This window comes from Homo sapiens, chromosome 20 (genome assembly GCF_000001405.40).
Source record: "Homo sapiens chromosome 20, GRCh38.p14 Primary Assembly".
NCBI lineage: Eukaryota > Metazoa > Chordata > Mammalia > Primates > Hominidae > Homo > Homo sapiens.
The window spans coordinates 34,998,705-35,012,496 of record NC_000020.11 but is presented as its reverse complement, the minus strand read 5'-3'; the positions used below and the strand labels follow the sequence as shown (position 1 = coordinate 35,012,496).

Sequence of the window (13,792 nt, the reverse complement as noted above, 5' to 3'; positions counted from 1 at the left end):
GTGCAGGAAGGGGGTGACTAGCAGCTGACCCTTGACCTTGGCATTGGGGAGGTGATGTGGGGACCTTAGTGAACAAGAATTTCAGTGAGCTCAGCTCCAGCCAGCTGCGTGTGCACAGGAAACTGGGCCCACTGTTGCATAACTTCTGATTTTTTCTGCCAAGCAAAGGCAGAAATTAAGATTTATGTGAAAGGTCCTGATTTTAAATGTTGGTTTAAATATTTTAAAAACCTTGCATTTGAGCTAACAGAACATGCCTGGAGACAGCTGTGGCCCCAGGGCACCTCCATCATATGCACCCATCCTCTGTGAGAGGTTTTCCGGCTGAAAGCCATAGAAGGGCTCCAGGAAGCATGTTAACCTTCTGAAAAATGGCACCACATATGTTATGGAACTGTGCTGTTTTCCCTGAGGAAGTGAGTCTCTGGCTTTCATCAGACTCTTCAGTCTGAGTACTCTGTGGGATATCAGGATGAATGCAAACAGCCATGGCCCCTGCTCTCATGAAGGGCAGAGTCTGAAAACAGAGACAGTTGTTCATCCAAGGATTCCACCGTTGAGCATTAGTGATAAGTGGAGATGGTATTCAGGAGGAGAGGAACGGGGTCTGTGAGAGACATTTGACAGGGTCCAGGACTGGCCAGAGGACACTCAGGAACTCTCCCCTGCAGAAGTGGCTTGCCAGCCAAGACCTGAAGTGTCAGCTTGTAGTGAATTGAGTGAACAGGCATGTGAGAGGGTGTGTGTTCTAGCCAGAAGCCCCTGAACGAGGGAAGACCATTGTGGCCAGCTGATGGGAGTGATGTGGGCTTGGCTCTGGGCTGGGCTGCACAGGACGTTGTGGGTCACAGTCACAGGGTGTTGTGGGTCACAGTCACAGGCCTGGATTTTATATACAGATGGTCCACTTAGAATTTTTCAACTTCACAATGGTACAGAAGTAGAATTTTGAATTTTGATCTTTTCCTGGGCTCATGATAAACAGTTCAATACTCTTGCAATGCTGGGCACTGAGCTGCAGCTGCAGCTCAGAATGTATTTCAAGAAAAATGGTGACCAGCTACACGATCACCAAGGTAGACAACCAGTACTCTGTGCTGTGCCTGCCGTGTTGCCAGTGATTATGGCCAACTGTAGGCTGAAGTCAGTGTTCTGAGCACATTCCAGGTAGGCTAGGCTAAGCTAGGAGGTTCAGTGGGTTAGATATATTAAATGTGTTTTCTTTCTTTTTCTTTTTTTCAAGACGGAATCTTGCTCTATTGCCCAGGCTGGAGTGCAGTGGCATGATCTTGGCTCACTGCAACCTCCACCTTCTGGGTTCAAGCAATTCTACCTCAGCCTCCTGAGTAGCTAGGATTATAGGCGTGTGCCACCACGCCCAGCTAATTTTTTATATTTTTAGTAGAGATGGGGTTTCGCCACGTTGGCCAGGCTGGTCTCGAACTCCTGACCTCGTGATCCACCCGCCTGGACCTTCCAAAGTGCTGGGATTACAGACGTGAACCACCGCGCCCGGCCTCAATATGTTTTCAACTTAACGGCATTTTCAAATACGATGGGTTTATCAGGACATAACCTCCTCCTAAGTCAGGAAATGTCTGTTCTAAATGCAGTGGGAAGCTGTGGAAGTGTTTTCACCGGGAGTGACAGGATCAGAGTCCTGATTCTGAAGATCACTTTTGGCACCGTGTGATGACTCAGTTCCTGTGGGATACCTTTTAGTAAAGGGAGCTGGTGTCCTGGGAACACAGGACCCAGCAGTGACAGGCCTGGATGGCAAGTCGGGGGAAGTGTCACAGTTAACCAGGCCTCTGTGTGATGTGTGACCGTGGTGCTTGGTGGGACTGCTGCAGCAGGGCCAGGCTTGAGTGTGATTGGACCTGTTGAGGTGTTGGTGCCTTTGAGAAAACAAGTGGAAATGTAGGCAAAGAGAAAGGCCCAGAGCTGCTGAGGGAAGGGGCCTTGTCGATGAATGTGGCAGGCAGGGGTCGGGGATGGGGGTGGGGCCAGGGAGAGATTCCACTGCCTGAGAGCCCAGAGTTCCCTCCTGCAGGTGCTGGCTGGAGTGAGAGGTGCTAGAGGAAAGTGCCTGGTGGCTTCTCAGATTCTGTCCACAGGAAGTGGGCAGGAGACTCCCTACACTAGCCTGGTGCTGACCCAGCAGCCCCAGTTCCTGTCCTTTACCTCCTCCAACCCATTTTGTTTCAGGAACAAGTACTTGTTACTCAACAACCAGGAGCTGAATGAACTCAGTGCCATCTCTCTCAAGGCCAACATCCCTGAGGTGGAAGCTGTCCTCAACACCGACAGGTGAGTGCAGGGGTGCAGCTTTTCCCTCAGCCCATCCCGGCTGCCCACGTTCCCCGGGGGCTCACCGGTGAGCACATCCAGGTATGCACGCGTGTCCTCTCTCACATGCAGCTACAGTGTCCTGAGGGCTCCTGTGTGCCAGGCATTGTATTCATGTCACCTGCATTTTCTCATTGGAGCCTCACAGCAGCCCTAGGAGGGGAGCCCCATCAGTACCTGCACTTGACAGATGAGGTGAGCCTCAGAGAGGTCACCTGCCAGAAGTCATGTGTGCTCCGCACTGCCCCACCGCCTTGTCTCGTGCATTCAGCCCCTTTGCTTATGTGCTCCTTTCTTGCCTGGTGGCATCTGCAGCCAAGCAGGACAGACAGAAGCCTCTTACCTGCTGCCAAGTGTTAGGTTGCATTACCTGGGTTAGGTTTGCCTCACCTGGAGCCAGGCAGTGGGGGGCTAGTCTCACAGGCGTCAGAATACAGTGGACTTTATCCAACAAGAGCCATGATTTCCCAACCTTTTTTGTTTGTTTGTTTTGTTTTGTTTTTTAGACACAAGGTCTTGCTCTTTCTCTCAGGCTGCAGAGCAGTGGTGTTATAGCTCACTGCAGCCACAAACTTCTGAGCTCAAGTGATTCTCCTGCCTCAGCCGCCCGAGTAGCTGGGACTACAGGTGTGCGCCACCATTCCCAGCTAGTGTTTTTACTTTTTTTTTGTAGAGATGGGGTCTCACTATGTTGCCCAGGCTGGTCTCGAACTCCTGGCCTCAAGTGAGCCTCCCAAAGTCCAGGGATTACAGGTGTGAACCACCTCTCCTGGCCTCCCAATCTTTTTTTTCTAAGGTAGCAGAACTCTTCATTCAAATAAAATTGTACCCAGTCCTGCCCTGATGTCTGCAGTGGATCACAGCAGAGCTGCTCTGTTTGAAGGGCCCAGACCCCTGCGTGCCTGGCCGTCTTCCTTCCCCCATGACGGGGCCAGAGTCATTTCCTCATCTCCTGCCTTTGCTTCATAGACTGGGAAGCTGAGGCTTGGAGTTGTGGACACTTGCCCAAGGCCAGCTGGAAGTGAACCTCAGGCACGGAGTACGCTGGGCCTCACCCTATTGGCAGAGTCTTTCCCCATCTGGCAGACTGGCATGACCTGTTTCAACACACTTTTGGTATAAACAGCTCTCCTCTGGCAGTTCTAAGCCATGTCTGATTCTGGATATGTTTCTGGCCTGGGAAGGAAAGCTGGCCTGAGATGTGGTGGGAATGCACTTGGCAGTTTAATTCTGTGGCTGCAGGGGTCTCCGGGGCTCTGGACCCAGTTGGAGCAGGAAGGCATCCTGCAGACTTGGAAATGTCCCCATGGTTTTTCACCGCCTAAGCCAGCAGAATGACCCATCCCCAGGGCCCCTGTCAGCCTCTCAGATCTGTCACCAATATCTCTCTTCTATTTCAGGAGTTTGGTGTGTGATGGGAAGAGGGGCTTATTAACTCGTCTGCTGCAGGTCATGAAGAAGGAGCCAGCAGAGTCGTCTTTCAGGTGAGTCTGGGGAAAAGTACCTGCCGATTCTGCGGGGCTGCAGAGCCAGGTGTTTCTCAGGAGGTTAGGAATACCTCCTTTAGTCACCAGCGTCCATGCCTCCTGAAGCACAATTACTGTTGGGGAGAGGTGGTTTGACTGCCATCTTGTGTAGTTTTGACTCGACAGGTATGTGAGAGCTTCTTCTGCAGCCCACAGTGACCGAGCATTCACCAAGCACCTGTTCTGTGCTGGTGCCTTATGGGTGGGAGAGAACTAGGATACGGGCCCTGCCATGAATTCCCTAGAGCTGTGCTGTTTCAATGCAGTGTGGGAAGGAATGGAGCCAGGGTTGGCCCAGGAGCTATAGCAGCAAAGGAAAGCCTCTTCCGCTGCTAGGGCTGGGGGCTGGGTGAATACAGGGAGACCTTCTCTGAGGTCCTTAGATACATCTAAGATGAGTCTTGAAGTCAGTGGACAGGTAGAGTTCCATCAGGGCCGGGCGTGAGCTGTCAGGAGGCTTCATGCCCACATGGGCCTTTGTCACTTCAGTGCCTTGTCCAAACTCCCTGTCGTGGATACCCGCTGTGCCCTCTGGGTCCCTCGGTCAGCATCAACCACTACTTCCCTAGGCCAGCCCATCGTCTGTGAGCCCAGTGGCCTGTCTGCATGTGTTCGTCCGCTTCCCACACACATTCCTGGCCCCTCAATTGCACGTCCTCCCATTCTTGTGAAAGGGCAAGGCCTAGAGTATGTTTCACGGGGGCTCGCAGGAGCCAGCCCTTCGATCCCAGATGTTACCCTTTCTGTGACACAGCCCCTTCCAGACAGACCCAGATAGAAGACTTCTCCACTGAGCTGGCTCTCTGTGAGGATGGGGGCACTGCTGTGTCCCCAGGCCCAGGATGAAGCCTGATGCTTGGTAGATGTTCAGTAAATGTTGAGTACATGAAAAGGCAACAAACATCTCCCAACCCCTTGGAGAACTGAACATGGGCCGGAAGAGGGCAGCCTTAGCCACCTGAGCCAGTATTTGGGTCGCAGGTTTTGGCAAGCTCGGGCTGTGGAGAGTTTCCTCCGAGGGACCACCTCCTATGCAGACCAGATGTTCCTGCTGAAGCGAGGCCTCTTGGAGGTATGATCTGGAGCAGCCAGTGTCTTGGGTTCCGTCTCCCCCCAGCCCACGCGTTGCTGTGTCCTGTCCTGAGCCCCAAACAGTTCATCAGGAGCAGAGCAGATCTCGTGACTTCCAAATGCCTGTGCAGGCTGCCTTAGATTTTGCCCTGGGTTTCCAACTGTGGGTTCCCCATGGGTGCTTACGGGGTGACAGGTTTAGAGGGTGGCCAGGCCATGCAGGAGGGTGACAGTTTGGTTACCCAGCAAGGCATTTTGACCCTGAAGATATTTTGTACTAAAAGTTAATTTTCCTTTATTGAATAATGGTCTTCAGAAAAAGTAAAACTTAGAGCAGAATGGCCAAAGTTATAATTGGTCTTTCAGATTTTTTCATATGGACAAGAAACTGACCCACGAATTATAAAATCCATGTGGAAAAGAATTGATCCAAATCAATGTAACTTCAAGAAAATGTAGAAAACTTTATAAAGGAGTAAATTGGCTTTATTCTCTTGATGAAAACTCAGTATTTTGGTGTAAACTCTATTTAAACAATTTCGTTCATAAACACAAAGACAAACCATGGGGTCAAAATGTGTCCTTTGCTTTTAAATTCTGTCCTTCATTTACTTGAATGACCTCAGTGCTTAGGCAGTGGCCTGTGTTTTAGACCTGGTGATGACAGCTCCCCTCACCTAGGAGCTGAGCACCCCGGCCATCTTGGTGACCACAGAGCAGGTCACAGGCTTCAGCTGTACGCCCTGGGCAGGGGAGAGATTGTGCTGCATTCCCAGTCTGCTCCACCTCCTGGTGAGGTCTGTCAGGCCTGGTCCTGTCCTTGGAGCCACCAGCATCCTCAGACAAGAATCTAGACAGTGTTGCCAGTTCCATCCCCAGGATGCTTGCTCAAAGCCAATGCATGGTCTGAGCTCCATGCCAGGCCCTGGTGGGGGCAGCCACGTTGACACCTTCACCCTGTCCCTCCTCACCCAGCACATCCTTTACTGCATTGTGGACAGCGAGTGTAAGTCAAGGGATGTGCTCCAGAGTTACTTTGACCTCCTGGGGGAGCTGATGAAGTTCAACGTTGATGCATTCAAGAGATTCAATAAATATATCAACACCGATGCAAAGGTAAAGTTAACCCAGGGCTCTGTGGAGTGTGCTGGGTTGTCCAGAAGTTCACCTGGAGTCCTGGTCTGCCAGGCTTTAGGCACAGGTTTTACGTTAGAGACGACGGGGGAGTCTGGGCAGTCTTTGGCAAACATTCATTGGAACCTGCTCTGTCTGGCTTTGTGCTAGACCCTGGGAATGCAGGGATGAAAACCGGGGCTGCTTGTGGGTAGGGAGTGAGGGTGGGAATGGGTGGCTTGTGCGCCTGCCGTGACGCAGCATGGTGGGTGCCACGGTGGGAGCCGCTGTAGGGAGGGACTGGGCCTGGTGTGTTAGGCTCACCGAGTGTGTGTGACAGAAACCCAGCTCAGGCTAGCTGAAGTAAAATTAAAAGTAAAAATTAAAGGAATCCAGCACCCTTGAGCGTAAAACCACTGGAGAGAGTGTCGGATCTGTGCTGAATTCCGGGGAGTGCCTCTTAGTACCTGGGTGGTGAGGGGAGGTCCCTCAGCTTATCTGAGCCTCTGTCTTCCTATCTGAAGCAGTGGGGCTGGTAGAGGTCGCTGATGCCCCTTGTAGTGACTATCCCCCCGGGCCATGGCCATACCTGGCCAGCAGCCCACTGCCTGCTGTGAGCTTGGTTTCTGTATAGTTCCAGGTATTCCTGAAGCAGATCAACAGCTCCCTGGTGGACTCCAACATGCTGGTGCGCTGTGTCACTCTGTCCCTGGACCGATTTGAAAACCAGGTGGATATGAAAGGTACATGAAAGGCAGGCTGTCAAGGCAAGTCATGCAGGGTAAGAATGCTGGCATCAGACACCCTGTCTCCAGCAGGGAGACAAGAATGACTGAGGGAGCTGCACCAGATGCCCACGTGGCCGGCCTCAAGGTGGCGGCTTCCAGGGCAATTGGCTTTGCTGCCTTGTTCAACACTTTAATAAGGTGAAAATCCATTGTTGCTAGCAAGATGCAAAGAAAACCAGAAAAAGACCTTCCTCTTCTGGGCTGGTATTGCCTGGCACGATGAGTTGGCCCCCTCGTCCTCAGTGTGCTGTGCGTGGCATCGCAGGTGCCCTGTGGTGCAGCAGGCATCTGAACCCTCCTGGACTTGCTAACGCACTTCCATGTGTATGCGCACGCGTTTCCTTTTTTTCCTAGGAGAGGGCTTGTGGCATCCAGCAGATTCTCCTGAGGGTTTGTGACCCCCCCACACCCCCAAAAAGTCAGGCACTTGTTCCTTGTCACGGTCACTGTCATTGATAGCAAGAAGTATCCCGGTTGTTGGTAATTTAGCCGTTTGCTTCCTTTTTCTGCCCCAGAGGGTCTGTTTCAGGGGAACAGCCACACAGATTTTGGTACCTTCGGTTATTGCCCTGCCTCCCAGTTGTGCGGGAAGCAGTTGCTCCGACACTAGTGGACGGAGCAGAACCTGTGCCTTGTGGTCTCAGCACTGGGCCGGACTCACCTGAGAGCTGGTGTGGAAAACCAGTTGCGCTAGGACCTCTGCAGAAGGAGTGGAACTTTTGCGTTGTTTTTCTTAATGCAGCGTCATGGATCCATCTTCCTGTGGAGGGAACTCTTCTGTGTGTGATATGGAGGGCACGGGTCTGGAGCCAGTCTGGGGAGGGCTGAGGGAGAGCTGCCCTGAGCTTGGTTCTGGAGGATGAGGTGGGGTGCTCCTGGGCACTCTGAGAACATGGCTTTGCCTGGTAGCAGGACAGCTGGAGGTCCTTCTTTCTGCCACAGTCAGCTTTCGTTGAAGCTGTTTTGATGATGAGCTCCTAGCTTCAGAGTCAGGACCCAAGCGGGGCTCCACGAAAGGCCTGGGCGACCCAGCCACTGGGCCTAAGCCTGACCTGCTGCACCCCTGCCTCCCTCCACAGTTGCCGAGGTACTGTCTGAATGCCGCCTGCTCGCCTACATATCCCAGGTGCCCACGCAGATGTCCTTCCTCTTCCGCCTCATCAACATCATCCACGTGCAGACGCTGACCCAGGTGAGAGGCCCCGGCAGACACACAGCAGGGAAGGTCGATTGGAAACCACTTCCTTTGTCCTGGTGCCCAGCAGGTTTCTGTCCCCCACTCCAGAAGTGCGTCTCTGGAGACCCAGCTCTTCTGAGGACTGTGCTCAGGAGGAATCAGTGTCCCATTGTACAGACAGGGCCTAAGGAAGGAGGGCTCGCAAGTGCCCTCAGGTCACAGGCTGACTTGCAGGCCAGTGCTCTCCCCGCCTCCCCCATGTCCACGTCCCTCACACCTTCTGCCCTGCTGGGCTTTGGAATCGGACCTGAGGCTGCCCAACTCCCTCACTGAATAGTCATGCAGCCTTCCCTTCTCTGAGCCTCCTGCCCCTCTTTTCTAGAGTGAGGGTGATCTTAGCACCTCTCAGAGGTGGTCTTTGGTTCCGTTCTGAGGTGAAGCACCAGGTGGGAGTGCATGGTGAGTGGGGCAGAACTCTTTCCCCACCGAGGCGCGCAGGCTAGTGCTGAATGGCACTTCTGAAGCGGGATAACCGCCCCAACACACGCACCCAGCCCTGCCTGGGACGGACCTTCCGGAAGGAGTGATGCTTGAGCCCAGGTCTGGACAGGGACAGGTGTTGTTGCCTCAGGTGGGGTGGGAGGTGGGCGTGGGGAAGAGGAAGGTGCTCAGTCAGGAAACTGGGGCTGCTGGGGGCCCCCTTCCCCCAGTCCTATCTCACCTCTGTGCAGGGAGAGCTCTGTGGGTGGCCCGAGGCCTGGGGCCACTCTCCTCCCTGCCTGATGGCTACCCAGGTTCACCAGGGGCCACTGGGGCTCCCACCAGCCCCTGACCCTGTGGGCCTGTGGCCTTGCAGGAGAACGTCAGCTGCCTCAACACCAGCCTGGTGATCCTGATGCTGGCCCGACGGAAAGAGCGGCTGCCCCTGTACCTGCGGCTGCTGCAGCGGATGGAGCACAGCAAGAAGTACCCCGGCTTCCTGCTCAACAACTTCCACAACCTGCTGCGCTTCTGGCAGCAGCACTACCTGCACAAGGACAAGGACAGCACCTGCCTAGAGAACGTGAGTGCCCCACCCTCAAGGGGGTGATGGGTGGGCCGCGGACCCAGGGCCTCTCAGAGGGGTGTCCCGGTGCTGGGCTTGACCTGGGTCCTCCAGGCGCCCCCCAGCCCCTCCCTCTTTGCCCAGAGCTCCTGCATCAGCTTCTCATACTGGAAGGAGACAGTGTCCATCCTGTTGAACCCGGACCGGCAGTCACCCTCTGCTCTCGTTAGCTACATTGAGGAGCCCTACATGGACATAGACAGGGACTTCACTGAGGAGTGACCTTGGGCCAGGCCTCGGGAGGCTGCTGGGCCAGTGTGGGTGAGCGTGGGTACGATGCCACACGCCCTGCCCTGTTCCCGTTCCTCCCTGCTGCTCTCTGCCTGCCCCAGGTCTTTGGGTACAGGCTTGGTGGGAGGGAAGTCCTAGAAGCCCTTGGTCCCCCTGGGTCTGAGGGCCCTAGGTCATGGAGAGCCTCAGTCCCCATAATGAGGACAGGGTACCATGCCCACCTTTCCTTCAGAACCCTGGGGCCCAGGGCCACCCAGAGGTAAGAGGACATTTAGCATTAGCTCTGTGTGAGCTCCTGCCGGTTTCTTGGCTGTCAGTCAGTCCCAGAGTGGGGAGGAAGATATGGGTGACCCCCACCCCCCATCTGTGAGCCAAGCCTCCCTTGTCCCTGGCCTTTGGACCCAGGCAAAGGCTTCTGAGCCCTGGGCAGGGGTGGTGGGTACCAGAGAATGCTGCCTTCCCCCAAGCCTGCCCCTCTGCCTCATTTTCCTGTAGCTCCTCTGGTTCTGTTTGCTCATTGGCCGCTGTGTTCATCCAAGGGGGTTCTCCCAGAAGTGAGGGGCCTTTCCCTCCATCCCTTGGGGCACGGGGCAGCTGTGCCTGCCCTGCCTCTGCCTGAGGCAGCCGCTCCTGCCTGAGCCTGGACATGGGGCCCTTCCTTGTGTTGCCAATTTATTAACAGCAAATAAACCAATTAAATGGAGACTATTAAATAACTTTATTTTAAAAATGACTGCTGTGGACCTGGCTTTTGTCCCTAGGACTGTGTTTTTCCTCCTGAACCCCAAAGAAAAGAATGAGAAGGAAACTGGCTGTGGTGTTTATTCAGGGCCCAGGGAAGGCTGAAGGCAGCAGGGGGCGATGCAGAGATGGCAGGATCGGGGCAGGTGGCCTCAGCCAGATGTGCAACAGCAGACATTCCTCTTTAGAGCCCAGGGGGTCAGGCCGTCACTCCTTGTGCTGAGGAGAAAGGGATAGCTGAGTGAGCAGTACTACCTGTCAGCCCCCACAGTCCCCCTGCACAGAGAGCAATGCCCCTGCCACTCCTCACCTTGGGGCCCAGGGCGTCCCGGGTCCGTGCCCGCAGCTTGTTGGCCTGGGTTTCCGCCATGTCTGCCCGCTCCTCCGCATCATCCAGCTCGTGCTGGGCCTTGCGATACTTGGCCAGGTTGGTGTTGGCCTGCTGCTCCTGGGGGCACACACAGGGCCTTGGTTCCGCTTGGGTGACTGAGATGCTTATTCTGGTCCCTGCCCCAGTCCAAGAAGGGAGCTAGCTCCTCCTGGTTCTCAACTTTGTTCCTATTGCCACTGTCCATCCTCACCAATACCACAGCGGGAATAAGGAAGTTGGGACGCACCAACTTCATGTGCCTTTTTGTGCCTGCCCCACCCCTCAGAGGCAGCCCCAGCCTTGGCCAGGGGAAAGCACATGGGGTCTGTTCCATGAGAAGGAGCTAGGTCTGATCTCCCCAGAGATGTTAGAAGCTTCTCTCTTCCCTCTGGGTCACTGACCTTGGAGGGTGGAGCTGCTGCTGATGCCTCACCTGGCCACAGACCCTGGGGCAGAGCTGGGGTGCCCGGTCCAGGTGTCCAGGCCCCAGCGCACTCACCGCCTCCTCAAACTGGCGCTTGTAGCTCTTGACCTTGCTCTGCAGCTTGTCCACCAGGTCCTGCATGCGAGCCAGGTTCTTCCTGTCCTCCTCGGCCTGGGCGGGCAAGGGGGACTCAGGGCTTGCTTGGGCTGGGCCAGCTCCAGGGCCACTCCCCAGGGAGACCCTGTCGCCCACCTGGTATGCGAGCTCCTTGACACGGCGCTCATGCTTGCGCACGCCCTTAAGGGCCTCGGCGTGCTTCTTCTGCTCTGCATCAAGCTCAGCCTCCAGCTCCCGTACCTGCAGGCAGGGGGACAGCCTGATGCCAAGCCCACCCCTGGGTCACCCACCCTGCCTGCGCCAAGGACTAGAGGGGCTGCACACACCTTGGCCTCCAGCTTCTGCACCTGCTTCTTCCCGCCACGGAGGGCGGCCTGTTCTGCCTCCTCAAGGCGGGCCTGGAGCTCGCGCACCGTCTGCTCCAGCGTCTTCTTCATCCGTTCCAGGTGTGCACTTGTGTCCTGCTCCTTCTTCAGCTCCTCGGCCATCATGGCCGCCTGTTGGGGAGGAGGAGCTGGTCAGGTGCCCAGCCTCAGGGAAGTCCCTCTGCAATTCTGTCCCAGGCTCCCCACAGCCCTTGCCCAGCCTCACATCAGTGATGGCCTTTTTGGCCTTCTCCTCAGCCTCCCGCCTCTCCTGTGCAGCCTCCTCCACCTCCCCGCTCAGCTGGGCCAAGTCCGCCTCCAGCTTCTTCTTCTGGTTTAGGAGGCCTGTGTTCTGAGGGGAAGAGGAGTCTCAGAGCCAGCCAGCCAGCAGGCCTGCACCTGCTCTGTCCCCAGGGACTCCTGTCCCCACCTGCGAATGCAGAAGGTTGAGGCGCTCGGTGGCCTCCAAAAGCTCCTGCTCTGCCAGTCGCCGGCTGCGCTCGCCCTGCTCCAGGGCAGCCCGCAGCTCCTCCAGCTCCGCAGCCAGCAGCGAGGCCCGGCGCTCCAGAGCCTGCGCCTGCTCGTGGAGCTCAGCTGCCAGCCGCTGCTCCTCGTCCCGCCCTGCCTGCTCCTCCTTGAGCTGTGCCTGCATCAGCCGCGTGGCAGCCTGGGCCTCTGTGGCCTGACGGGTGGCATGGCCCAGCTGCAGCTCCAGGTCGTTGAGGTCACCCTCCATCTTCTTCTTGAGCCGCAGCGCCTCATTGCGGGCCCGTGTCTCTGCATCCAGGGAGGCCTGCAGGGACTCCACAGCTCGCTGGTGGTTGCGCCTATGGGAGGAGGGTGGCATGAAAGGGGGTCTCGTAAGGGCATACCTGTCCTTACAAATGCCCAAGGACCGTTGGAAACGAACCCATTTTGAGAACAAATGAGTCACCCCTCCCCGATTTAAAGTCTCTTGTGACTGCCTGTGGCCCATCAGAGCAAGTTCATGGACAAGAGTGAGGCCCAGGCAGACAGAGGTGGACTGACTGGCTCCACCCCCACTGTGTGACTTTGGGCAAGTCCTTTAGCATCTCCGAGGTTCACAGCTAGAATGGAGACAGCAACCCGGACCTCAAAGTCCCATGGGAGGGACAGACTAGAGAGCAGAGTACACACTGCTTCCCTCCCCTTCTGCTCTCGGGAGGTGGGGACGGGAGAAGGATGGACACACCTCAGGTTAGCGCACTCCTCGTCTTTCTCTGCCAGCTTCCGGTCCACTTCTGCTTTGACCTGGGAGAGCTCCAGCTGGATCCGCAGCGTCTTGGTCTCCTCCAGCTCCAGGGCCCCCTGTGGATACAGAGCAGGCAGGGTAGGGTGGGGGGGGGGGATGGCCAGTGGAGCAGCAGGTCAGTGTCCACCCACCCCTGCAGCCAGCCCCTGACCTCTGCCTCCTCCAGTGCAGCCTGGATCTCACTCTTCTCGCCTTCCAGCGCCTTCTTGGTTTTCTCCAGTTCCTGGATGCTCTTCCCACTGAGACTCACCTGGTCTGTGAGGTCGCTGATCTCCTCTGCAGTGGACAGGGTGCTGAGAGGCCACCCCCATGGCTTGTACTCCCACCCAGGTCACTCCACTCACCCCTGATTCCAGGGTGGCCCCACCAGGGCACCCCCATAACTCAAAGTTGCTCCGACCCCAGGGCAGCACCCTGGCCCTGGCGTGTGGCAGGTCCTACCCTGCAGGTTCTTGTTCTCCCGCTTGAGCGTCTCCAGGGCTTCAAGTGCCTCCTCGTGGCCGTGCCGCAGCCGGAAGAGCTCGGTGCCCAGGCCACGGGACTCCCTCTGTGCCGCCTCCAGCTCCCGCTGCATCTCCTCCTCCTGCCGCCGCCGTTCCTCCAGTGCCCGTTCCAAGTGCCGCTGCTTCTTGTCCAGCGCAGCAGCTGCTGAGGTCGCCCGCTCCAGCTCCAGGGTTACATCCTCTGACTCTGTCTGTAGCCGCAGCTTGGCCTTCTCCAACGATGAGCACTTGGCGTTGGCAGCCTCCACGCCCTCCTCTGCCTCCTGCAGCCGCAGTGCCAGCTTTTTTCTAGGCCATGGAACCAGACAAGGTGTGGACCATGGAAGGAGGGAGAACAGCCCCAGCAGCTCCCTTCACCCACCCTCAGCGGGGCTCAGGCACAGGCATAAAGCTCTGCATGGCAGTGGCCTGGCCAGCAAAGCACTCACTTGGCCTCCTCCAGCTCCTCGGTCCTCTGGATGGCATCTGCTTCGTACTTGCTCCTCCACTGGGCCACCTCGGCATTGGCCTTGGACAGCAGCCGCTGCAGCTCAGCCTGGGCCTCAGCCTCCTCCTCGTGTTGCTCCCGCAGGAGGTCACAGTCGTGCCGCAGAGCCTGCACGGCGTGGGCCAGGGCACTCTTGGCCTGCAGGGACACCA

General features: G+C 56.5%; 2 protein-coding genes across 19 annotated transcripts in view, besides 1 other annotated feature; one reads left to right on the top strand and one right to left on the bottom strand.

Annotated features, from left to right (window-relative positions):
- The window catches only part of TRPC4AP (transient receptor potential cation channel subfamily C member 4 associated protein), a 90,404-nt gene extending 80,311 nt beyond the window's left edge, over positions 1–10,093 (top strand). For 4 of the 11 annotated variants that reach the window (NM_199368.2, NM_015638.3, XM_047440102.1 and 1 more), the window contains 8 exons: positions 2,209–2,310; positions 3,750–3,833; positions 4,857–4,947; positions 5,922–6,062; positions 6,694–6,802; positions 7,927–8,039; positions 8,881–9,087; positions 9,214–10,093. In NM_199368.2, coding sequence (NP_955400.1) covers positions 2,209–2,310; positions 3,750–3,833; positions 4,857–4,947; positions 5,922–6,062; positions 6,694–6,802; positions 7,927–8,039; positions 8,881–9,087; positions 9,214–9,351 — 985 coding nt within the window. In that variant the 3' untranslated portion in view covers positions 9,352–10,093. The other 7 variants (XM_047440096.1, XM_047440095.1, XM_047440098.1 and 4 more) reach the window with 5 other exon arrangements.
- Positions 10,060–13,792, bottom strand: part of MYH7B (myosin heavy chain 7B) — a 46,570-nt gene continuing 42,837 nt past the window's right edge. For 6 of the 8 annotated variants that reach the window (XM_047440336.1, XM_047440337.1, XM_006723840.4 and 3 more), the window contains 11 exons: positions 13,582–13,778; positions 13,092–13,441; positions 12,802–12,926; positions 12,591–12,706; positions 11,808–12,204; positions 11,604–11,729; positions 11,339–11,509; positions 11,148–11,252; positions 10,971–11,066; positions 10,412–10,549; positions 10,060–10,338 (listed from right to left, as the gene is read on the bottom strand). In XM_047440336.1, the coding sequence (XP_047296292.1) occupies positions 10,309–10,338; positions 10,412–10,549; positions 10,971–11,066; positions 11,148–11,252; positions 11,339–11,509; positions 11,604–11,729; positions 11,808–12,204; positions 12,591–12,706; positions 12,802–12,926; positions 13,092–13,441; positions 13,582–13,778 (1,851 nt within the window). In that variant the 3' untranslated portion in view covers positions 10,060–10,308. The remainder of the gene's footprint in view (positions 10,339–10,411; positions 10,550–10,970; positions 11,067–11,147; positions 11,253–11,338; positions 11,510–11,603; positions 11,730–11,807; positions 12,205–12,590; positions 12,707–12,801; positions 12,927–13,091; positions 13,442–13,581; positions 13,779–13,792) is intronic. The other 2 variants (NM_020884.7, XM_047440338.1) reach the window with 1 other exon arrangement.
- Positions 13,236–13,735: an enhancer, noted in NCBI's record as "H3K4me1 hESC enhancer chr20:33586565-33587064 (GRCh37/hg19 assembly coordinates)". NCBI's record gives its function as "activates a minimal SCP1, AML or CMV promoter by ChIP-STARR-seq in naive H9 embryonic stem cells {active_cell/tissue: H9 hESC(naive)}" and the evidence as "EXISTENCE:reporter gene assay evidence [ECO:0000049][PMID:30033119]".